This window comes from Homo sapiens, chromosome 10, assembly GCF_000001405.40.
Source record: "Homo sapiens chromosome 10, GRCh38.p14 Primary Assembly".
Classification (NCBI taxonomy): Eukaryota; Metazoa; Chordata; class Mammalia; order Primates; family Hominidae; genus Homo; species Homo sapiens.
This window is the reverse complement of record NC_000010.11, coordinates 120,981,654-121,007,525: the sequence shown is the minus strand read 5'-3', so window position 1 is coordinate 121,007,525 and position 25,872 is coordinate 120,981,654. Positions and strand designations below refer to the sequence as shown.

At 45.5% G+C, this 25,872-nt stretch overlaps 2 long non-coding RNA genes across 6 annotated transcripts in view; both read left to right on the top strand.

The window, feature by feature from the left end:
• LOC105378521 (uncharacterized) overlaps window positions 1-8,160 on the top strand; it is a 78,111-nt gene extending 69,951 nt beyond the window's left edge. Inside the window, exon 4 of the long non-coding RNA XR_001747611.2 lies at window positions 7,964-8,160. This is a non-coding gene — a long non-coding RNA (uncharacterized LOC105378521). The remainder of the gene's footprint in view (window positions 1-7,963) is intronic.
• A 1,791-nt stretch (window positions 8,161-9,951) lies between these two features.
• On the top strand, window positions 9,952-22,564 carry LOC105378520 (uncharacterized). Of its 5 annotated transcripts, none has more exons than XR_007062316.1 (3): window positions 9,952-10,929; window positions 15,417-15,568; window positions 16,700-18,036. It is a non-coding gene; the product is annotated as an uncharacterized LOC105378520 (long non-coding RNA). The 5 variants fall into 5 exon arrangements; XR_946375.3 differs by adding an exon at window positions 21,951-22,564 and having other exon boundaries at window positions 9,956-10,929; window positions 15,417-16,844; XR_946373.3 differs by adding an exon at window positions 21,902-22,564 and having other exon boundaries at window positions 9,956-10,929; window positions 15,417-16,844.
• The last annotated feature ends 3,308 nt before the right edge of the window (window positions 22,565-25,872 follow it).

Sequence of the window (25,872 nt, the reverse complement as noted above, 5' to 3'; positions counted from 1 at the left end):
GTCCAGCTCCACTCAGCTTTATTCCCCTCTCCCTGCATCTGGGGCTGAGCAGGCAATTCAGGCCACTTTACATTCCACAGATCAGCCCATTGCCTGAGGCAACAGAGAGACTTTCCCAGTAAACAAAATCAAGCATATACCATCTGCTTCTCTTGAAGCCAGCTCTTACCCACAAAATCTTACCACACACAGAAGCTGCTGACACGTGTGCACTGGAGAACAGGTATACTTCCTGAGACCTCTGCCACCCTGGCTCTGCAGGAGGCTGTGAGCCTGCTTACATGTCCAGTATATTACTACTACAACCAGAATATGAGAAAGCCACCACACAATGGCTATCTATAACCAAGGAACTCATATAGAGTCATGGCCAATGAAAGCACTCAGAACCAAAGCCAAACGACCCTACACAACATCAAGGAGGGAAAAATCCTATCCAGATGAAAGTAAATTAAAAAATAATAAAAAGAGATAGTTTATTCAGATGAGAAGGGCAGAGAAACAATTGTGAAAGTATGAAAAAACTGTTACAACACCCACAAAGGAACACACTGAGTCTTTAGCAATGGATCCTAACCAAAATGAAATATTTGAAATACCAAGTAAATAATTTAAAATACTGATTTTAAAGAAGCTCAGTGAGATCCAAGAGAAAGTTGAAAACAATATAAAGAAATCAGAAAAACAATTCAGAATATAAATGAAAAATTAACCAAAGTCATAGATATTTTAAAAGACAAAAACAAATAGAACTTCTGGAAATGAAAAATTCATTGAAGAAACTACAAAATACAGTTGAAAGCTTTAATAATAGACTAGACCAAGCAGAAAAAAGAATCTCCAAGCTTGAAAACAAGTCTTTTGAATTAACCCAGTCAGACAAAAATAAAAAGTTTTTTTAAAATGAACAAAGCCTTCAAGAAGTATGGGATTATGTAAAACGTCCAAACCTACAAGTCATAGGTATACTTGAGTCAGAAGAAAAAATGTTGGAAAAACCTATTCGAGGAAATAACTGAGGAACATTTCCCTAGTCTTGTTAGAGATTTAGTATCCTGATACAAGAGGCTCAGAAAACTCCAATAAAATACATTGCAAGATATACTTCACCAAGACATATAGTCATCACACTATCTGAAGCCAAAGTAAGGGAAAAATTCTAAAGTCACCAAGAGGAAAGTGTCTAATCACCTATAAAGGAAACTCCATGAGACAGCAGATTTCTCAGCAGAACCCTTACAAACCAGGGGAAATTGGGGTTCAATTTTCAGACTTAAAGGAAAAACTCTCAACCGTGAATTTTGTATTCTGCTAAATTAAGCTTCATAAATGAAGAAGAAATAAAGTATCTCCCAGACAAGCAAACACTAAGAGAATTTGTTATCACTAGACCAGTCCTTCAAGAAATGCTCAAGGAAGTTCTAAACATGTAAACAAAAGGTTGATACTTAACATTACAAAAACACATAAAAGTATAAAAATCACAGGTCTTATAAAACAATTACACAAATGAGACTACAACGCAGTTAGGTGACAACATTATGACGAGCAAATACTCATACATCAGTATTAACTTTGATTGTGAGTGGATCAAATGCACTTAAAATATATAGATTGTTGGAATTGATTTAAAAATATATCTAAACATATGCTGCTTACAAGAGACCCACATAACTGGTAAAGGCATATAGACTCAAAGTAAAGGGGTAGAAAAAGATATTCCATGCAAACAGAAACCAAAATCAATCAGGAGAAGCTATACTTACATCAGATAAAATAAAAATAAACCTTAAATCAACAACAGTAAGAAAAAAAAAAGACAGTCATTATATAATGATAAAAGAATGTATTCACCAGGAAGTTATAACAATCATAGATATATGTGAACCCAACACCAATGCAGCCAGATTCATAAAACAAATACTATTAAATATTAAACCTAAGAAAAGAGACAGACAGAAATACAATAATAGTGGGGCACTTCAACACCCCACTGACAACACTAGACAGATCAATGAGATAGAAATTCAACAAAGAAACACTGGACTTAATTAGGCATCTAGACCAAATAGACCTAGCAGACATTTACAGAACATTTTACCCAATGACTGCAGAATATACAGTGCATAGAACTGTATAGATAGAGCATATGTTAGGCCACAAAACAAGTCTCAATAAATTTCAAAAAATTGAAATCTTATCAAGTATCTTCTCAGACCACAGTGGAATAAAACTAGAAATCAATTCCCAGAGAAACTATGAAAACAATAAAAATACATGGAAATTAAACAACCTGCTCCTGAATGATCTTTGTGTTAACAATGAAATTAAGATGAAAATTTAAAAATTTTTGAAACAAATGGAAATGGAGACACGACATATCACAACCTCTGGGATACAACAAAGGCAGTGCTTAGGGGAAAGTTTATAGCGGTAAATGCCTACAGAACAAAAATAAAAAGAACACAAATTAACAGCCTAATGTCACACCACAAGGAACAAAAACAAACAAACAAACAAACCAAACACAATGCTAGCAGAAGGAAAGGAATTACAAAGAGAAGAAATAAATGAAATTGAGACAAAAAATACAAAGGATCAATGAAACAAAAAGTTGGTTATTTGAAAAAATAAACAAAATTGATAGACCACTAGCTAGACTAATCAGGAGGAGAGAAGATTCAAATAAGTAAAATCAGAGATGAAAAGGAGACATTACAACTGATACCACAGGAATACAAAAGAGCATCAGGGACTGTTACGAGCATCTCTATCTTCACAAACTGGAAAACTAGGGGAAATGGATAAACATCTACAAACACACAACCTCACAAGAACGAATCAGGAAGAAATAGAGAGCAAATAACAGGCCGATAACAAGTAGTCAGATTGAATCAGTAATAATAATAAAAAAATCCCTCAACCAAAAAAAAAAAAAAGGCCGAGGGCCAGATGGATTCACAGCTGAATTCTACCATGTATACAAAGAACTGATACCAATGCTACTGAAACTGTCCCAAAAAAATCAAGGAGGAGGGAATTATCTTTAACTCATTCTATGAAGCCAGTATCACCATGATACCTAAATGAGGCAAGGACACAACAAAAAAAGAAAACTACAGACCAATATCCCTGATTAACACAGATCCTCAAAAATACTCAACAAAACAACAACAACAACAAAAAACTAACAAACTGAATCCAACAGCACATCAAAAAGATAATAAGCCACAATCAAGTGGGTTTTATTTCAGGGATGCAAGGATGGTTCAACATACACAAATCAATACATGTGATTCATCACATAAACAGAATAAGAGGAAAAACCATATGATCATCTCAAAACATATGGAAAAAGCATTTGATGCAATTCTGCATCCCTTCATTATAAAAACTCAACAAAGTAGGCATCAAAGGAACATAACCTAAAATAAGCAAAGTCATATACAACAAACCCGTAGCCAACATCATACACACACACGCCACAAAATACTATGCAGCTATAAAAAGAATGAAATCATGTCTTTTGCAGCAATGTGGATGGAACTGGAGTCCATTATCTTAAGTGAAATAACTAAGAAACAGAAAGTAAAATACTGCATGTTCTCACCTATAAGTGGGAGCTAAACTGTGTACACATGGACATATAAAGTGGAATAATACACATTGGAAACTCAGAAAGGTGGGAGGTGGTGGGGAATGAGAAACTACCTAATAGCTACAATGTACACTATTTGGGTGATGGTTACACTAATAGCCCACACTTCATTCACTACACACTATCTCCATGTAACAAAACTGCACGTGTACTTTCGAACTCTATAAAAATAATTTTCACAAAAAAGAAAAAAAAGTTTAGAAATCAACTGCCTAGGCCGCTACAAGGGGGCTTCGGCAGACACTGGCTGAAGGCAGCTGGGAGAGGCAGCAGGAGGCCTGAGTGAAAAGTGCAGGGCTTGGCCATTATTGCTGGAGGAAAAACCCTGGTAATGCAGGAGAGTAGAAGCAGAGAGAAAGCAAAGCTTGACCATGGGTAATCGCCTGTGGAAAGCCATTTTGAGCAGGGGCAAGAAACACAAAAGCAAGCACCTTTTTGCTCTGGGATAGTTGTGATGTGAAGAGCGGTAGGTGGCTCCCCTAGCTTCAAGAACTGGCTAGCTCCTCATTGCTCAGCTCCCAGCCTACAGGGTGTGTCCTCAGGAAGGTTTGCTGTGACTGCCTGGCCTCATACTTCTTCCTTTCTGTATCACTCATCCCATTCGTAATTATTTCTTCAACACCCACTTTCCTTCCCCAGTAGATTGTAAGACATTCAAGGGCAGGGACTGCCTGGTTTCCTGCGTTATCCTTGGGGCCTGGCACAGAGCTTGGCACTTAGGAGGTGCTCAATAGATTACTTATGGCAACAAACTAATTCCAGCCTTGTAATGATTCCAGGCGTTGCCTTCCTCGATCTTATCTCAGCCTTGGCTTCCTGTTTGGATTCAGGTTGCTGATAACAGGTGCAGGTGAGCTGCATGGCCTTATCAACGGGGCAAATTTAGTGGAGTCACCTTTCAGATTAAAGAAACAGTGGGAGAGGAAGTTTGAGCATGAGGTCACAGAGGGAACCTCTTGGGCTACTTTCCATGATCTCAAAGCAGTTTTATTATTTCATTTTCTCATTCATTCACTCGTTCTTCATTCATCTAGCAGGTATGTTTTGAAAGCTGACTCTGTGCCCAGCCCTGTATAAAAGCATCCGGTAGCTGGTACCTTCTGAGTCATCAGTGGGGCAAGGCAGGTTGTGAAAGCTTCTGGAATCAGGCAGATGTAGCTTCAAATTCCAGGTCTTTACTGACAGTCCATGAAAACTTGGGTATGTCTCTTAACCTCCTTGGACTTTTGCTTCCTTCTTTTGTGAAAAGGGCAAATAAGGTGTCTGTTGCAAGGCTGTTGTAGGGCCCAAAGGTGATGAGATATCAAAAGTAACCAGCTCCTAGCCGGAGCTCCATGTATGTTAATTCCCGGCACCCTCCCACCCCCAGCATCCCTTCCCACCGCCACCACCTCTCTAAGTATATTTTCCACCTCCTTTTTCACTTAAAAAGTTTGCATTCATTCTGCAATGGTTTCATTCAGAGCTTCTCCAAGTGCAATGCCCAGACCACCAGCATCAGAATTCCCTGGGGAGCCTGTTAAGATGCAAATTCCTGGGCCCTGATATAGTTCCCAAGAATCACAACCTCTGGGGTTAGAGCTCAGCAGACATGATTGCAGACATGTTCCTGAGGCAAAGACATCACACTTGGTGCTTCCAGTCTCTGAGAAGCCCCCTGGCAGCAACGATTGGTGCCAGAGCCCTAAATTTGGCTTGAAGACAACCAGAATTGAGAGAGTATCTAGAAACATGTGTGTAATTAGCAAGGAGAACAGAAGGGAGGGAGGATATATGTGAATGATGTTGGCAGTAATGAGTGGGGGTGAGATGGGAATGAAGGAGATGTCAGCTAGCAATGTCCTGGCTGGGCAAAAGCTAGGAGATGCCACCTGAGCCTGATGGAGGAAATCTGCCCCACCCTGTAGATGGCTCGAGGTGCTGGCTGCTCCAGAAGTCACAGGGAGGTTCAGGACCTCCACCAATCCCTACAGGTGGCCTCCTGACACTGAAATTCTCCAGGTCAGTCCTGGTTTCAAATATTTTGTCGCCTTACTAGATTTTGTGTCCTGATGACATTAATAGCTGCTAGCATTGCAGACAGCTTCCTGTCAAATGCTTGGGAAAGAGAAGCAGTGTTAGGGTCAAAACTACTCAAATCCTGCCTCTGTCCCTGGTAAGGAGGATGGCATTGGGAAAGTCATGTGACTTCTTGGAGCATCTGCTTGTTCATCTGTAAAGTGGGGATAACAGAGTCTGCCTTTCAGGATGGTGGTGAGGGATCAACGACATAGATGATGTGTTTAAAGCTCGGAATGAAAAGGCACAGAATACACACTCATTCCCTTTTCCCCACCCATTGTCCCAGAGCAGGAGCCCAGGAGGGAGCCTGCTCCTCACCCGAGTGGAGGTTCACAGTCTCCACTGACTCAGGCAGCTCTGGCAGCCACACAGTTCTGAAGCCACCCACTGCGGTGATTCTTTTGTCTGTGAGTTGCACTTTGATTGACAGGCCTTTGCTCTACACAGAAGGTTTGCATTTTCCATGGAATGGGAAGAAGAGACAGGAAGTAGAGAGGCTTGGGAGGCGAATGATCTAGAGCTGATGGCCAGGAGGCCAGCCCAGAAATGTTCAAGCAGGGAGTCAGAAAACCCGAGTTGGAAGTGCAAGTTGCCAGTGAAGGACAAGGGGAACTTGTTTAAGACCAGCTCCTTGGCATTTCTCTTGGAACTAGCTAAACCTTCAGTCATTGCAAGCTATAAAAAGGGTTGTGTGGATGGGAAGGACCCTAGTGGGTTAAGCAGTGATATGTGAGTCCATGTAATTCCACACTCAGAGGAGGGTCTGCTACTCACAGAGTGGGGGCACATTACAGATTCCTGAAAGGGGCCAGCCTGAAGGCTGTGGGCTCTTCTCTAAGTGGATTCAGTGGCTCTATGGACAGCACTCCTTGTTGTCCCTGTCTCTGAACTCACTCCCCTTTCATCCCCTTTCCCTGCCTTTATCATCATCTTTGACACGAACAGCAGCAGAAGGCAGTGCAGGGGGAGTACAGGAGCTCTCCCCCATTCCGCTGGGCTTCCTAGAGGTGCTGGTGGGAACTGAAAGCTAACAAGGTTCAGCTTTCTGTGGGTCTTGCAGGGACTTGCTGTGGCCTCCAGTGGCAGGGAGGTGTGTGCTCTGCTGACAGTGAACACAAAGCCACTGGAGGGGAGACTGACTGGACCCCCAAAGGCACCGAGGGCATTTGGCCAGCGTCCTTCTCCTCTATGTTTCTGCTTTGGGTGATCAGAATCTGGGCCAAATTGGAACTCCAGAGTGGTAGAATGAAAGTCTATGGTGAAAATCTGTTTCTCCAATTTGTTTTAGAATTGCAGTAGCTTCAAGCACACGTTCCTTATGATGACCACTCCATGTCTCCATCCCTGCAGCCCCACTCCCTCCTGGATGATGGCACTACCCCGTTAATGAATGGACACGTGCTCTGACTTCCCGCTGTATCTCCTGTCTGCATGAACTGGCTCTTCTCTGTTGGCTTTAGGGTCTGGAAGATTCTCCTATCTCCTCTCTGGTGGGCCATGCCCCACTCTCCAAGTCCCCTCCCTGTTTCAGCTAACCCATGGCAGTGGCCTCCAAACTTGTCTCCTGGTCTCCAGTCTCTCCCCTGCTCTGTGCCAGGTTACACTTTGCATGACATAACTCTTCCCGTGCCTAGAAATTGCTGTTGCCTTCTCCCCCACCACCTCAGCCCAAATGTCAAATGCTTTCAGCAACGCATGTCTAGGCCTTTCTCTGAAGCCCTTTTGTCCTCTTTGCCCCCTAGTGGCATGTCAAGTATACCATAGAGAATAGGTACACCAGGCCCCTTTCTTCCAGAAGCTTCTATTCTAGAGAACAAAGGAGCAAATTGATACGTAATTACAAATGGTAATTTGCACCGTGGAAGAAACAGAGAGCACAGGTCATAGAGAAACCTGGCGCGGGGAGGCTTCTATAAGGAGGCAGCATTCAGTAGTGACTCAAAGAGTAAGGAGGCCATAGCCCTCTCAATCTTGGAGCCTCACAACTCCCGGACGTCCTGTTGGCCTCCTGTGCCAGCAGCACACTTTCTGTCACTCAGAATCATGTCTGTGGTGGAAGCAAATTGGCCAAGACCTGGGATGTGAAACCCCTGCAGCCTTCACCAGCTGTTCTCCCGCTCCATGATCACGGGATCCAGAGGGAGTTGTGCAGGGGGTCCCTCCCAGGGGCTTCATCCTAAGACCCTTGGGTGGTCCCTAAGAACCGAGGCTTCCTTTCTACCCTCGTTCTTTCTTGACCTTCAGGTTCCAGTCGAGAAGGCCAGTGTCTACTCACCACAAAAAATCACAGGAAAGAGGAAAAGAGCATCTCCCCCGGTGTGAAAGCCCAAACAGAGGAGTTGCCTTGTGGAGGGAAGCAGTTCTAATCACTCCGGTGCTCCAGAAAACACTTCATGCCCAGCAAGGCAGCCCCTGGGTTCCCCCCGCCATTTCAGCCATGTTTCCTCCCTTTACCCCCTGGAGTCCAACCGAATGGCAGCTCCAGCCACAGTGCACTCAATACCAATCTGGCTTCTGGCAAGTTGTTCCTAGGCACTCCACAGGCCAGCTGAGCCCCCAGCTACATCACTCAGATAAGAAGGTGCCATCGGGCCACCCTCAGCGCCCCTTTGCTCTGCACCGCTGCAGGGCTGAGCATCAGGGATCCCCCCACCCAAGGGAAACCCACTGCCAGGGCCTTTCTCTGTGCTGAGTGCACAGACTCCCTCTGCAGGGCCCGCCCAGGAGTGGGTATTTCCCCTCCTCCCCTCCCTGGGTCCTTTGGGACCTGCACCCTACATTTGCACCCCTTGCTCCTCCTGCAGGCCCAGGTAGCATCTCCTCCGGTCTGTTTACTGTCTCTCACCTTCCTGGGTCCCCAAGTCAAGCTGTAAAGGCGGCCACTTGTGATTCAGGAGATGCCCATTTTGTGCACTGTTTGCTTCTGGAACTTGATTGGCAGCTTTAGGCTAATAGCACATTCTTTTTTAAGAAGACATCTATTGTTCCTTGACATAGGCACTAGGCTGAGGGCAAATATCATGTAATTCCACAATCATCAGCCCAAAGGGAGAGCACTGGTATTTTCCCATTTTTATAGCTGGGAAACAGCGGCTCTGAGTGACTGAGTGACTTGTCCAAGGTTCTGGGACTTGGAAGGGCAATGCTGAAATTTGGATCCAAGACTCCAAAAGCACGTGTGTACAGCCACCATGCCACCCTGCCTGCCCAGGTACCACTTGCCTCAGCCTTTCCTGGAGGACTTGGCAGCTCCTCAGCCTCTGTGGGTTTTAGGAAGTGGCTCAGCAGCAAAGTGGGAGGCAGCAGGAACTCCCCATGGAGCAGCGCTGGCCAGCAGCAGGGCCAGGCTCATCCCCCACCTTCAAGGGCAGAGGCCAAGGCTGGACAGACAGTTGTAAATTCTACAGCTGCCTGCTGCCAAGCTGGGAGTCAGTGTGTGGAGGGGGCCAGAGAGGCTCTCGGGGCACAGAGGCCAGTCCCCCTGGGCCAGTGTCCACGACTCCAAAGCAGGGAACTGATGGGAGATCTGGGAGCTATGGTCAGTCGTTGGGGGAGGAGGGCAGTGGGGAGTTAGATCGTTGTTCTGGGAAAGTTCCAAGAGCCTTAGTCGGCCACTTCACAGGAGACCCGGGTCCTCCTAGGCACCAACCTGAGGTTGCATAGCCAGGGCAGGACTCACCCCCAAGACCTGGCCTTTAAATGGGAGCTTTTATTCACTGTGCCCTGGGGCCTCCAGAATGCCAGCCAGGGCATTGGCACAGTGGCTGTGGGAGCTTTAGAATACCACCAAGAATAATAATAGCTACCATTTATTTAACACTTTCTGTGTGCCAGGCACTTGCTGAATGCTCTGCACGTATGCATCACTTGACATAGTCACCACAAGAACCCTGGAGGCTGATGCCATGATTAGCTACATCTCACGGTTGAAGAAGCACAGCTGGGAAGGGGCAGAGCCTGCGCTGGACCCCAGGCTTGGGATGAAGCATGAGGCTTCAATGGCTGTGCTGGAGATGTTGTCATTGATATTTGCTCAACAAGCTTTAATGGAGAGTGTTCTGGGGACAGCACAGAGGGTAGAAGGAGAGTATAAATCTCTCCCTCTCTCTTCACACAAACACACACACACACACGCACACACACACACACAGTCTGGTCATGCCAAGCAGCCAGATGAACACACTGCTACACAGAGCAGCATACACCAGGGGCCACACCAGTGGGTGGTACAGAGAAATTTGTGTTGAGATTGGAGGTGAGAAGGTGCAGGGAAGAAGGATCTCCTCAAGGTGGTGTTGCATCCATCCCCTCTGCTGACAATGCCCTCAAGTTCCTCTGCTTGGCCAACTCTCCACTCTGCTCAGGTCTCTCCTCCTTCAGGAAACCTTCCCTGATTGCCTCCCTACTCTCCAGGCTGTTTATCAGGCTGTGTCCCATTGTTTGGGCTCTTAGTGCCTTGAATCATATTAGTCTGTATAAGTCCCTGACTTCTCCCTTGGAATGTGAGGTCTGGGGGTGCTGGCACTCCGTCTTCCTTATCTCAGGGTCCCCATTGCCCAGCATTGGACCAGGAAGACCACAGTGTCAGGGGGCCAGCAGGGGTTGTGGAACTGCACAGACAGGAAGGGGTCAGCAGAGCCAAAGGAAAGGGAGAAGGTCAGGCTTGTGGGTGGTGACAGGTGCCTGTCTGCTTGGAGGTTTGCTTTTAAACAGGTTTGCTTGGAGCTGAGGGTCCCTACAGGAGCAAGGTGGCAGGTGGCTCTGGAGAGGTGGCTTGTCCCCATCCCAGTCCTCACAGCCATGAATGCTGTGTTTGCAGGAACTCTGGGGAGAGTGCCGTGGCTTCTCCCACATTTCTTCAAATAAAATCTGGGCCCAAATGCCCCTAGGCAGCTCTTCTCTGCAGAATTGCCCTGTGTGTTTGTTTTGCCACCGTGGGCTGAGCTGACTGCAAGGGCTCAGAACACAGCCCAGGCAGACGCTGGGTGTGCAAGGGCAGGGCATGTTTGTGTATGGTTAGGGGACAAACACAACCTGATATCACGGTCAGAGCTGAGCTGTTGGCTTTAATTCTGCATTTCTTGCTCCTGAGGCTTTGAAAAACAAAGCACGCTTGGGGCGGGCTCACTTGGGGAAAAGACGGGAGCTCTGGTCTTATCCTGAAGCATCACAGTCTGCTCAGAGGAGAGTTATGGACTCTTCCAATGCTGGTGAGTTCTGGAGTTCGTGCTATCCTCCAAGCCTGGGAGGTGGCAGTGTTGTGGTCCTTAGCTTCTTAGCTCAGCTAGGTCCGAGGTCTTGTCTTAAAACCAGGAAGAATTAGGTGTGTGGACACCAGAGATTAAGTGGAGTAGAATTTATTAAGCAAAATGAAAGCTTTGAGCAAAGAAGGGATGGTGGGGCGGGGGTGGTTCCCCTACCTGAAGGTGGGAAAGTCCCCACCAAGTGGCTGGGTCTTGGGCCTTTTATGGACTCAGAATGGAGACTGCATGCTGATTGGTTTGTGAGTATGCAGAAAAGGTTAAAGTGAAGACACCACTCAAAGCTGGGTATGGCAGTGTAGAAAACCAGTTAGGAAAGAGCAGGTATACGTAAAATAGGTGAAGGGTGGGGATCAATCAGAGGAAAGCATGCCAAACAGGAAGACAAGTTCTCAATCTGATCTGAGGGGTTGACTTGTAGCTTGGCTTTCAGGCTTTAAACTGTCTTTGGCTTGGAGGTGGGGATTCACGGGGACCTGCACCTGTCGGCCTAGGCATTTGGCTGCCTCCTGCCACTCTTATGTCCCCCCTCTGAAGAGGTATATCTCACTGCCATTAGCATAGGGATGAAGACCAATCTTAACTGCTTCCTGCTGACAGGGGGCGATGTTTTGGGAAAACAGCAGTCAGATCTCCCTCAGAGGCTTATCTAAAGGAACTTGGTGAATGGGAGCCATTATCCAAGGCTCCAATTGCATGACCTTTTGGAGTCTGACAGCCTGAAGTCAAGAAGAGACAAACCGGGTTATTAGAAGAGATGTATCAAAATGAAACAAGGGGGTAAGGACAGCTTAAAAATCCTGAGGCTGCTGGAATGCCCAGATAACTGGTGGCTATAGTTTTGCTTGCTAAGAGTTGGGTTCATGGGGCTTGGCTTTGGTTAGCTCCACTGGCCTTATTTTCCCAAACAAAGAAACCTCCAGGTAATAGGCACCCTATTTACTCCTATCACCTGGCAGGATTTGCAGGATAATTGCTCAGAACTAGAATGTTGATCTAGATTTTTACATTACCCATCCCTTCTGTTTCTTCTAAGCTGCACCCAGAGACCACTGGTTAGTTCACAGGAATAAGCAGTCTTAGTCTAAAATGTAAGCAAAAACTTAAAAACAACTGAGATTAGAATTCAATGACAAATATAAGTTTTGAAACATAATTTTTTTTCTCTCCAATCCACATTTTTGTCAAAACAAATCATGATAGGACTGAGTTGTTTTCAAAATAAACTTTAGTCTTGGCTTGATCATTTGCATAAAGTGTAACAAGAATAATTATCTTTCATGTAGGCTTTTTAAATTGGCTTTGATGGAACTCCATTCCACAAGGAATCTCAGATAAGACCTTTTAAAGCCGAGCCTAGCCATGGGTTTGTACCCTCAAATACCTATGAGTTGGATAAATCCCTCTCTTCTTCAAGTCCCAAGACAACATGGGGCTCCTGGGCCTGTTAGAAATGACACTGTTTACTCACCACAGGTTAGGAACCCTGTATAGGAACTGTTTTGACAAGGTATGAGGCCAGTTTTCCCAAGGGGATTTTATTGGCTTTGCAAGTCAAGCTCAATTCCTTAAAGGGAAGCACACATTTCCAGTCAAAGACTTGGTAAAACAACCTGTTTCTCCAATTGCATCCTGTTGCAAAAGAAAATGGATTCTTATTGCATTGATCCAAATAACTGTATTCCCATAACTTAAGAATACTCACAGTTTCCAAATCTAGAGAAACCAAGCAGAGAGAAAAAAATATGCTCCAAATTTTGTTTATAAGAGTATACCTTACTCATGTTAGAAGCTGTAGATGCTCAAAAAAGTTTCCTTGGCTCTGAAAAAATAAAGGTCTGCAGTGTTTTCAGAAAAAGTTTAAAAAATTACTTCAATTTTCTGATACTTCAGTGTCTTCAGTTAACTCTTATTCTGCTTGATATTCATAAGCATTTCAGTTCTTCATGAGTCCTGTATGTTCCCCTCTATTCCAATGTCACAATCTCCAAAGCTATCAGAAACCTGCATTTGACAGCACCTGTCAAAGTCCTATAGCTTTTGCAAAGGATCAAAGCATGACAACAATCATCTGTGAATGACAAAATGTCCAGGGTAGTTACAGTCAAAAACATGATTGACAAAGAAATTTGGTTATTTCTATGGTTTAAAATAGCTTAACATAATAACCTTAATTATGATCAATGGCGTATACTCAGACATTAGATTTTTAGAAATCCCATACAATTTTGGAACATATATTAACATTATTCACTAAAATATAACCTGAAGAAGGTTAAACATTATTTTTATTTTGGCAATCCCACGTGACTAAACATGTCAAATAATCTTGTTTACCTCTCCTTCAGACGCTCCAGGGGCCCTCTGTAGCATCCAAAAGTTAGGGGTCAGGAAAGACAACCTTGAAACTCAAGTTTGATTTTGGGAAGACTGTTAAATATGTTAGAGGTTCAAAGCACTTGATATTGTGAAGTAGAATTCCAGATTACTGTAAGTCATTTTATTTAGTCAAAATGATGACTCAATAATTTTTTAAAAGACAAAAACCATTCATTATTGTTTACTATTTTTCTTAAAGAGCAAGTCAGTGCCTTAATAAAACCTTGTTGTGCTTTTATTTCAATGCTCAATTTATGGAAAATCCATATGATACCTTTTTGAGGTTAGTCAATATGTTCACACACAGAGTTTCTTTTTGCAAGATTTCCACCTTTTTTTAAACCTTCAGCATTATCTTTTTTTTTTTTTTTTTTTTTTTGAGATGGAGTCTCGCTCTGTCACCCAGGCTGGAGTGCAGTGGCGGGATCTCGGCTCACTGCAAGCTCCGCCTCCCGGGTTCACGCCATTCTCCTGCCTCAGCCTCCCAAGTAGCTGGGACTACAGGCGCCCGCCACTACGCCCGGCTAATTTTTTGTATTTTTAGTAGAGACGGGGTTTCACCGTTTTAGCCAGGATGGTCTCGATCTCCTGACCTCGTGATCCGCCCGCCTCGGCCTCCCAAAGTGCTGGGATTACAGGCGTGAGCCACAGCATTATCTTATCTAATTCAAAACAATCCTTTAACCCTCTAAACTAGGCAAAACTTTACACTCCCATGTCTTCTTATAATCTTTTACTCAAAACACATGTTACTTTCCTTGCACATTTTGCATGTAAATCTCTTTTCAGTAGTTTCAATTGCATGTTATAATGGCAACTCTTAGCAATTTTAAATTTTAATTTAAAACCTGGTGAGTTATTTTAATCATGTACTCAGTGCACATAAAATCTGACTCTTTCCAGCATAGTTAAGGGCGTGGTTAATTTCATATGTCCCCAAGCCTTACCAAATTATAAAACAGGCAAGTCAAACAGTTCTCAAAAGCCAAAGAAGAGGTTATAAGCTTAAAATACTTAGCAAACCTAGTATCTTATCCGCATAATTTAGGCCACATATTTACATTTTGAAGACATTTGTATTTTACCAATTATCTTTAAAACTGTTTTTATTTCTCAAAGATTAAAGTCTCATGAACTAAAAGGCATTACAGCTTTTATTTTTCCTTCAAAAAATATTTGATCTAAGCACTTCATTTTATTTAAGCCAATTTACTAGACCTCTTTTTAATATAACCATCACACACATAACACATACATGGTTACACAGATGGACAGAAGAAGATCCAGTAGTTGTAAGATTTTTCATTTGCCAATATCCTAATTGGATTACTGGCCTCAGGGTGGAGCCCTTCAAGAAACAGGGCTAGGAAAATATGCAGTTTCTAGGGCCTAATAACAAGCATAGCTGAAAGACAAAACCAGTTTTAAGAGGGATCTAGCTGCTTTTTAATTCCTGGGGTTCCAGAAGGAAAACAAAGGTTTTTTTCCCCAAAAAATGGGGTCTGTGGCAGCTTCTCTGTTTTTGCAAAGGAGTCCCATGCTCTCAGAAGTTATCTTAGGGCCTCTCACGCGTGTACTGAGAGTGGCAAGACAAAATGGAGAAAAGTAATTCAGTCGACTGAGAAAAAAAATCTTTTTCCAGAAAAACAAGATCCATGAAGAGAAAAACACAAAGGCCTTTTCAATATACCTACAGCTCAGATAGCCACTTTTAATTAAGCTGACTTTTAACGATAGTGCTCTTTAAGAAAATCCTTTTAAATTATTTGTTACCAGACTTTAGCCACACCAAGTGGCCAATATTTCTAGCCTTTGAACTTTACCAAAAGTACCTTCACAGTTGAAACCAAGAAGCCTCAACTAAGGTTATGACTTAACCATGAATGTACAAGGTATTTTTTATAAGGTAGTAAGTAGTTTTTACAAAATCTGGAATCTTTAAAGTAGCTCAGAGAAACCTCCGCCTCCCGAGTTCAAGCAATTCTCCTGCCTCAGCCTCCCGGGTAGCTGGGACTACAGGCGTGCACGACCACACCTGGCTATTTTTTATATTATAGGCTGGTCTTGAACTCCTGACCTCATGATCTGCCTGCCTCGACCTCCCAAAGTGCTGGGATTACAGGTGTTAGTCACCATGCCTGGCCGAGAAAAGAAGATTTAAGAAAGGAAGCTAGAAGTTGTTCATCGAAGGGAAGAGAATCAGGAAATGGTAAAAGTCACAGATATTAAGCAGAAAGTACTCATTCCCTAAAGCCAGGATTGAACCCTGGCCACCACTGTAAAATGGTGGAGACCAAAAGAAAGGACTGCCACGTGGTTACAAGGTCAAGCTGCCAAGGACATAAGACAAGATGGAGACCTGCAGCACAGTTCGTTACTGACCAGTTTGCGGGGCTGGCTTGAACAGTGGGCTCATGGGGTACTAGGCCATGCTCTATCCTCAGGTATTCCTCCTTATGACAGAACCATGCAGAAAGACACACAAAGTACACCAGATTGGCTGCAGCTTAAGATTAGCCTCACAAATCCTTTTTTTCCATGCATCAAAATCTTACAGAGGATATAAACAGTGATTTTCTCATTCATTCAACTGGTTTGCACAGGGAGAGGGAGACCAGAAGTCTGACTGGTAAGAAATCTTTACCCTTTTGCTGGCATTTCAGGCTTCTGAGTTCCCTTCACCCAAGCTCAATTTTAAGCCAAGCATTTTAAGGGTTGGGGAAATTAACTCTTCCCAGTTTGGGGGACACATCCAAGGGGAATGTCCTATGTTAGGTACAGGGACACAATTACCCATCCCCAAAGAGAGGACAGAGGAGGAAAAAGCAGAAAGAAGGCATTTTTTTTTTCCAAAAGAATCACAGTGATTCAGGAGGCATTTCAGAGAAGTACAGACTGAAGAAGATTGGTTACCCATCTCGAAAGAGGGGAAGAAAGTGTCCCTAGTTACTTTCTCTTCCCAGTGAATACTCAGGGTATGTGAGGGAGAGAAAGAAGAGGCATCTCCATTTGTTTTTTGGGTCCTTACATCCCTGAGTCCCAGTGACCTTGGCAGGGTGCTGCCCATGGGTGCCAATGAGGCTTTCACCCATGTTAACAGGGGGTGCCTAGGGGATGGGAATTATCTGCATTTGCCCACATGCTGCCTGTCCCCCATGCTATCAGTAACCTTTGGGTTCCCCAGACCTCATTTATGGCATGGATACTAGCATGACCTCTATCCTTGAAATAAGGGGGACTTAATCAGCAGGAATTAGTCAGTCACGCTCACCTGTGCTGTGCCCCTTGACTTCCATTGTCATCTGCCTCTGGATCCCTCAGATCCCGTTTTCCTTACTAGGGCTTCAGTCTGAAGCTTGGAATTGAGTTTGAGACAAAAAGCTGCCTCAGGAGGGTTTATGGACTCATCAAGTCCCAGGTGGTCCTCACCAGACTGCAGCCAGCAGCCAACAGCCAACAGGGTCGCTCCTCTGCTGCTTCCTTATGTAAGTCAAATGCTAAAGTAAAGCTGTAGAGCTGGGTCATCCTCAAACAAGGGAGAGAAAAGGGAGTTCTGTGATTTTGGGTCCTGGCCTAGTAAAATGCCTTTCAAAAGGAAAAAAAAAAAAAAAAAAAAAAAACCTCACATAGAAAAGCTTCCTGTATTCGCAGGGCTGTGTTAACTACCGACATGTTGGAGAAAAGAAAAAAAAAAAAACAGCTTAAGTGCAGGGCAGGGAAGGTGCCTGGGGGGAAAAAACTTCTTGCTCTATGCAAATGGGTTCCTCCAAAGGGGAGAGATTCTTAGTCACTGGACCCTCCTTCTCGTTCAGACTGAGCCATGAGAGGAAAGATTCAATGGGTGTGTGGTGGGAGGGGGCGGTGGGCAGAAAATGCTGACCAGCTGGCTGTGCAGGGCCCCTGGCACCTAAGATTTCCCTGGGTCCCAGGCAGCAGACACGGCTCACTCCTGCCCTGCGTGGCTGTTGGATGCAGCACAGGCATGCGTTGGACACAGCCACATGCCCCAGCCAGGAGGGGAGGGGGGAGCGGGTAGCTGCGGTGCACCCATTTGTCCACCATGTGTGCTTGTGGCTGTTGGGATGGGGGTAGGGGACGTGCCTCTAAGAACAGATGAAAATCACATTGTTCTGAATTGCATATCTGATGGCTAGGCCAAATGCTCATTCTACCTGGTAATATTTCTGCAGTTTGCAACAACACACTTAATGCTGTAAAAGAAGAGATAGGAGCCACTTCAAACCATGAAAGAAGAAAAGAAAAATACCATAGAAAAGTCTGCGGGTCTTGGCTGATGCCATAATGGGGTGGTCAGGGGTGGAGCCAAGTCTAGGGGCCTCCTGGCAATTAAGTCCTCGGCCAGATGCCTTCAGTTGCCCCAGGACCTTATTCTGGTTCCACGTGATGGCTAGACCTCCATGAAGGGAAACAAAGCCAACATCTCTTTGACCTGAAAGAGAGAGAGAGGTGGCAGGGTTGTATCCTGTCCTCTGTAACTGCGTCATTCATTCTTAATTGGCTCACCAGAGGTTTGGTGCTTCATCTGCCTTCAGAAAAAAGTCTGAGGATGAGAAGCCTCAGAAACAAAGGTGAAAGAGGGTTTGGGACCACATTTACTCACCCTCCAGGTATCCCCATATGAGCCACCAAAATGTTGCAGTCTTTCTGCTCCTCAGCTCAGCTAGGCCTGAGTTTTTGTCTCACAACCAGGAAGAATTAGGTGTGCAGCTACTGGAGAGTGAGTGGAGTGAATTCATTAAGCAAAAGGAAAGCTGTCAGCAAAGAGTGGACCCAGGGGTGGTTCCCCTATCCGAAGGTGGGAAAGGCCCCCCATGTGATTGGGTCTGGGGTCTTTTATGGACTCAGAATGGGAAGTGCATGCTGATTGGTTTGTGAGTAGGCAAAAAAGGTCAAAGTGAAGACACCACTCAAAGGTGGGCATGGCAGTGTAGAAAACCAATTAGGAAAGGGTAGGTCTATGTAAAATAGGTGAAGGGTGGGGATCAATCAGAGGAAAGTGCAACAAATGGGAAGACAAGTTTGCAAACTGGTCCGAGGATTTGACTTGTAGCTTTAGGCTTTAAACTGTCTTCGGCTTGAAGATGGGGTTTCACCAGTGACCTGCCCCTGTCTGCCTAGGCATTTGGCTGCCTTCTGCTGCTCTCAGCAGCAACCATGTGGGGATAGAGAGAGAGCCTTCCTTCTGTATGTGCAGGTCCCTGAGTGCAGAGACAGTGATGACTCCACACAGGCAAAGGCAGGAGATGCTGGCCTGGAAGTATCTGCAGAAGGCTCTCCCCTTGGCATCAGGGGGTGCAGAGACGTTGGCTGAACCAAGAGCTTGCTGAAGGAAGTTTTTTCTATATTCCAGACATCTGAGGGTTCATCACCAAGAGAGGAGGCCTTGTGAGCAGTGCTGATCTGGGAAGAAGGAAATATGGGCAGAGACAGAGAGGTCAGGGTGACAGCAGGAGCCCAGGGGACTGAGGGAAAAAAATCACATTATTTAGGAGAAGGCAGAGGAGTTGAAGAGATAGGTTTGGAGCTGACAACTTGGGTTGAATGCTGCAAGAAAGAGGACTGTTCATGTAATTCAGAGTCAAATACTTAGAGAGGACAGTGGACCAGCATGAAGGCAGTGGGCTCCCCGGGAGAGGTGTTCCTGCCTGGATTTAGAGCTTGTGGCTAAATGAATATGGTAGGCAAAATAAGGCCCCCAAAGATAGCCACATGCTAATTCCTCAAACCTGTGATCACGTAACCCTATGTGGCAAAGGGGATTTGGCATATGTGGTTCAATGAAGGACCTTGAGATGGGGAGATTATCCTAAAGTGTCCAGATGGGCCCAATCTAATCACATGAATTGTTTAAATCAGAGAAACTTTCCCAACTGTGGTCAGAGGGAGACGTGATCACACACACAAAAAAAGTCAGAGAGATGCTGGCTTTGAAGACGGAGGAAGGGGCCACAGGGAATGGAGTGTGGGCAGCCTCTAGAAGCTGAAAAAAAATCATGAGGAAATGGATTTTTCCCGAGAGCCTTCAGAAAGGGGTGCAGCCTGTGACACTTTGACTTTAGTCCAGTCAGACCTGGCTAAAACTCTGACCTACAGCACTGCAAGGAGTTGGTGGGGTTGGTTTTTTGTTGTTGTTGTTTGTTTTTTTCGTTTTTGTTTTTGAGACAGAGTCTCGCTCTGACACCCAAGCTGGAGTGCAGTGGTGCGATCTTGGCTCACTGCAACCTCTGCTTCCTGGGTTCAAGCAATTCTCCTGCCTCAGCCTCCTGAGCAGCCTCCTGAGCAGATTACAGGCATGTGCCACCGTGCCCAGCTAATTTTTTAGATACCCAGCTAACTTTAATAGATACCAGGTTTCACCATGTTGGCCAGGCTGTCCTTGAACTCCTGACCTCAAATGATTTGCCCACCTTGGCCTCCCAAATGATCTGCCCACCTTGGCCTCCCAAAGTGCTGAGATTACAGGCATGAGCCATTGTGCCTGGCCTGTGTTATTTTTAAGTCACCATCTTTGTAGTGATTCGTAACAGCAGCAACAGGAAACTCTTCTCTCCACCCACACCCTGCCCTGGCCACCAGCTCCGCCTCCCCAGTGTCTCTGTCCCCACTGCTTCTACCCAGACCAGCTCCTCCCTTCCTCTTTTCTGAACCACTGGCATACCTACAGCTGGGCCACCTGCTTAGTGCTGCTCCCCTTTAGTCCACTCTGCTAGGTGCTTGAGTTATCTTCCAAAAACCCAACTTAGATGAGGACAATTTCTACTGAATACTGGTTTTAGTTTCTGTTACTTAAGGAGGTGTGTCCAGATGTCCCAACTTGGCATTCAAGCCACAGCTTCCTTCTTGGTCTTCTCTGCCGCTCTCCTTCTTGCCATGTGCCAGGCAAACATGTCTCCACACCAGTTCTCTGTGTCCTCCCTCTCCTTCACCACCTCTCCAGCGTTTCCCATGTCGCCTGGACTGCCTTTCATCCTCCCTAGTCTAGACATGCTCAAGGGATATTGCTGCTCTTAAGTCACCCCTGCTGGGTAATAAGATCTAAAATTACCCTCTATAAGACTGCTCACAGCGTCAAGTGGCATTTTCTGGGGTGAGAAGACCTCATTCTATCTTGTTTGCTGACTGCTTTACCATCTGGCCTCCCCCAGTCCATGCTAACTCTTCAGGACAGGAATGGGTCTTGCTTTTCTACATATTTCCTTGAGAAATGCCAGTGGAGAGTGTGCCTTAGTCTGTTCCAGCTGCTGTAACAAATTGTGATAGACTGGGTGGCTTAAACAACACAAATGTATTTATCACATACTGAAGGCTAGAAGTCTGTGATCAGGGTGCCAGCATGGTCAGGTTCTGGTGAGATCCCTCTTCCTGGTTTGCAGATGGCTGTTTTCTTGCAGTGTTCTCACATGGGGGAGAGCAGAGACAGGAAGCTCTTGTATCTCTCTCTCTTTTATTTTTTTTCACCGAATCTCACTCAGTCACCCATGCTGGAGTGCAGTGGTGCGATCTCAGCCCAATGCAACCTCTGCCTCCTGGGTTCAAGTGATTCTCATGCCTCAGCCTCATGAGTAGCTGGGACTACAAGCATACACCACTGCATCCAACTAATTTTTGTATTTTTCCTAGAGACGGGGTTTCACCATGTTGGCCAGGCTTGTCTCGAACTCCTGACCTCAAGTGATCCACCTGCCTCAGCCTCCTAAAGTGCTGGGAATACAGGCATGAGCCACCGTGCCTAGCCTCTTGTATCTCTTCTAAGAGCACTAATCCCATTCATGAGGGCTTCACCTTCATGACCTAATTCACCTCCTAAAGACTTCACCTCGGCCGGGCACAGTGGCTCATGCCTGTAATCCCAGCACTTTGGGGGGCTGAAGTGGGTGGATCACGATGTCAGGAGTTCAAGACCAGCCTGGCCAACATGGCGAAACCCCGTCTCTACTAAAAATACACTAATTAGCCAGGCCACGCTACTTGGGAAGCTGAGGCAGGAGAATTGCTTGAAACCAGAAGGCAGAGGTTGCAGTGAGCCGAGATCACGCCACTGTGCTCCAGCCTAGGCAACAAGAGCAAAACTCCATCTCAAAAAAAAAAAAAAAAAAAAACTTCACCTCTTAACACCATCACATCAGGGGTTAGGATCTCAACATAAATTTGAGGGGAACAAACATTCATTCAGTAGGTAACAGAGGGTGAGCTTAAGTAGCTCATAGAAAGAGGCAGAGTGGTGGAGACATCTAAGACCTTTGGAAAATAATCCCAATGGCTACTTTCTACTGCACTTGACAGTTGTCTAATCATGTACAAATCTATGAGCACATTTGTGTCTCTCAAGCTGGTTTTACCAAGAATCTTTAAATCCAACTGCTGACATTTACTAAGCACTTGGACTTTAAAACAAACCCCAGGAGGCAGGGAAAATGCCAAAAGTTTCCCTACAGCTCACTAAAGGGAAGCAAAAATAAATTAGAAAAAAAAAATTAAAAAGGAAGTTGTCATTCAAAGTTGTCATTCTCACAAATGTCAGCTGGTGGAACTGCTACACACAAATTACACTGTTAACTCCTCACCGTCAGCCTCCGAGACCATGATCATTCTCCCTCCTGAAACAATGAAAGCATGGCTTTGAGAAGAGGCGTACCACCTGAGGTTCTGTGGCCAGGACATGGCAGACTGGGACTAGAGCTGGACATTTTGCCCCAAGGTGATGGATCCCATCCTGAGCCTTATACACTTGAGGAATTTTCTCTACCTTCCTCACACAGAAGCCACTTGCTCACTTGTGTTCCATCTTGTGTGCTTGAGCTGACATGTGCATACACCACCTGTTATGGGCTGAAGTGTGTCCCTGCCCCAAATTTAGATGTTGAAGTCCTCACTCTCAGCACCTTAGAACCTAACCATGTTTGAAGAAAAAATCTTCTGAGAGGTAATTAAGCTACAATGAAGGCTTCAGGGTGGGCCTTAATCCAATGTGACTGGTGTGCTTATAAGAAGAGGAAATTTGGACCCATGGAAAGACAACAGAAGCATACACAGACAGAGGGACACCGCGTGAAGACACTGTGAAAAGGTGGCCATCTGCAAGCCATGGGGAGAAGCCTTGAGAGAAACTAGCCCTGCCAATGCCTTGATTTTGGACTGCTAGCCTCTATAACTGTGAGAAAATAAATCTCTGTTGTTTAAGCCACTCTATCTGTGGTACTTCCTAATGACAGCTTGGTATAGTTTGGATTTGTGTCCCTGCCCAAATCTCATGTTGAATTGGAGGAGGGGCCAAGGGGGAGGTGATTGGATCATGGGGGCGGGTTTTTCTCATGCTATTCTCGTGATAGTGAATAAGTCTCACGAGATTTGATGGTTTTATAAAGGGGAGTTCCCCTGCACATGCCTTTTGCCTGCCACCATGTAAGACATGACTTTGCTCCTCATTCACCTTCCACCATGATTGTGAGGCCTCCCAAGCCATGTGGAACTGTGAGTTGATTACACCTTTTTCCTTTATAAATTACCCAGTCTCAGGTATGTCCTTATTAGCACTGTGAGAACAGACTAGTACAGAAACATAGAAACTGGGGGCTGGGGAGTTGCTCCCTGGGGTACCCTCCAATTGGTGGTCCCATGAGGCAGGGGCTGTGTCAGGGCTGCTGAGCACACAACAGTGCTCGGAGGTCATCGGCAGGTGCAGAGCTGAACAGTATGACTGGCTTGGACTCTTATGGACTTGGGCAGAAGAGGAGCCTGCAGCCCATAGGAATGGGTGGTTTTGCACAAAGGACACTTGTTAGCAGCCCTCAGCCTCAGCCCAGCATGGCCCAGCCTGGTGATGCCACACACGGTGCCACCATGGCCACAGAGCAGCAGAACGGGGTTGGATTTCATTAGCTGTGACCCCTGTGACCAGAGCTGCCCTCTGTCCCTCAGACACAAGTATTTTAAAAGGAAAGTTTTATTATTAATCAGGTACAGTGAGGCCAACAGATCAGGAGATGGATGCCATTGAAAAGGAATAGTGCTACACTCACAAATCCCAGGAGAAGGGGCAGGACACACTATGGGGCAGGGGGTATGGGGAGTGGGGGTGGGCACTCGGGGAAGCACCAGGGCCTGGCAGGAGGGGGAGGGGGAGGGGGAAATGGGCAGGAAACTTTATTGTGGTTTCCAAGGGAGCAAACAGGTAAGTCAGGCCCAGCAGGCGGAGGGCTGGCTGGTGTGCCTCATTCCAGTGGGCTCTGGGGTTGTAGGGCTGTCCCTAGTTGTCTGGTTCCTGGCCCTAAGGTAGCTAGGGCAAGAGAACAGTGGCCCAGAGTGTGAGAGCCCCATAGAGGAGGGGGTTGTGGGTGTGTGGTTGGGATTGGTTGGTTTGCTTGTGTGAGTTCTTGTGGGAAACTTGTTTGCTGTTTGGGGGAACTGGCTAACCCTGAGAGGGACTCAACCAGCAAAACCAGTAAGTACTCACTGTTCATCAAAAAAAAATGCTTCATCTCTTTGAGCTTCAGATGCCTCATTAAAACTAGGGAAATAATGCTGACAGCTGACTTCTCAAAAAGAACCTCAGGAAAGTATACTAGAAGGTAGGGTGCCCACTACCTGCACAGTCTCAGAAGGTAGGAGTAGAAAGAAGGGTATTGACAGGGCTTTCTCTTCTGAGCTGTGTGATTTTAAGGCAGCTCTTGAAAGACTGGACCTTTTGATCAGTGTGCACTGTCAGGCTAGGGTCTTAGAGTGAGTAATGATTAGCAAGCTTTTGGTCTTGATAAGAAAACAGGGCAGCAGCTTTGTTTTCCAGCAGGAAGTATTTCCTAGAGCAAGCAACTAAATTATTTTTCCTAGTTTCAGTATTGTTTAGCACAGAAACAGGAAGTATGCTAGTTTCAATAATAATAATAATAATAATAATAATAATAATATTTACTCATAGGATTATTAGGAAAGTCAGGTGAAATTATGTAGGAAATGTGCTTAGCAGAGTCTCTGCTTAATAAACGTAGCTATTAATTAGGGTGAGGCAGCAAATAACCAGAGCAGAATGTGATGAAGCCATTTGGGTAGGGTGATCCATTATCCTGGTTTATCTGAGATTGGAGGTGTTTTGGGATGGGGAATTTCAGTGCTAAAACCAGGAAAATCCCAGGCAAATGATGTCAAGTTGGTTAATCTCGGTTCAAGACAGGAAAACCCAATTGTTGCACATAAATTTTTTGGAATTTAACTTGGATTTTTTCTTTTAAGCATCAGAAATGTCTAATAATGTTTGTGAGTCCCAGAATAGAACATGTGGTCCTTAGGGAGTAGGGAGTAAGGTTTCCCAAGTAGCAGAGGCCCTATCCTGCGGCAGGTGTTTGCTAGAATCCTGCACTGGGGCCTTTGCTGAGGGTGCTGAGATATCCCTTTGGAAGCATCTCGAAGGCTGCATTGGAAATAAATAAGCCCCGGGAGGATCACACTGCAGGTGAAACCTGAGACCCTAAGCCAGCCAGAATCACCTTGGTATGACAAGCAGAGCTCTGCCTCTTTCTCTCATTTCTCTCTTCTGTTCAAAGAAAAAACTGAACTGGAATGAAGAAGCACCCAAAACTGGGGTTAAAAACTAGATATTTTGGGTTCAAAGTGAGGTTTTTCTGTCCCTCTTTTTGCACATATGGAGCCCAACACTGCTTAGTGAGCTGCTTCTTGCCAAATGCTTGGACAGCACCAGCCCATTTAGTTCTCACCAGTGCCCTGCAAGAAGTGTACTATTACCTTCACATTACACACCAGGAAATTAAGGTTGGGAGAGGTTAAGGGACTTGCAAAAGGTCACGGAGCTATGAAGGGATGGGGAGCTGGGATTCAAATTTGGGTTTGTAAGGAGAGAAGAGACGTCTTTCTTCTCAGCCTAGTAAGTGTGGGAGATCAACCGCAGGGTGATCGGATCTCCAAGATGAATGAGTCAACAGGACTTTCAAAGCACTATCTGAAGGTAAACAAGTCAGTATCATCTCTCCTTAGGGTCTGTGAGTTACTTTTGCTCTCTTGAGGGAGAAACTGAAATCTACACCGAATTGAGCGAATTGAGCCCAAAGCAGGGGCTCAAGTTTCTCTCAGCCTTCCTTTGCTTACAGCCCTGAGGGGATCCTGGCTGGGTGCTATTTCCAGGAGGGTCTCTCCCTCAGCAGGGAAAGGAGAGCAGGATTTGCAGAAGCTCCAGTTGGAGACAGAGCCCTGGGGGCGGGGGTTGGTGGATAGGGGTAGGCACTTGGCTTAAGCCAGATCTGAACTGTTTCCTTCTATCCTGCTCCTGGGGCAGGAGGCCCCCTGCAAGGCCCTAACTATACTGATCTTATCTCCTCCTGGGGAATTTTCCCACAGGGAGGCAGGAAAGGTCAGCAGTGTGTCCTGAGAGCCCTAAGGCAGGCCCACCCACTTCTACCACATGAGTGCTTTGGGAGAGGTACTGGAGGCCACACCTGTAAACCCAATAGGTCCTTTTAATACATACCAGGGAGCTGCAACTGG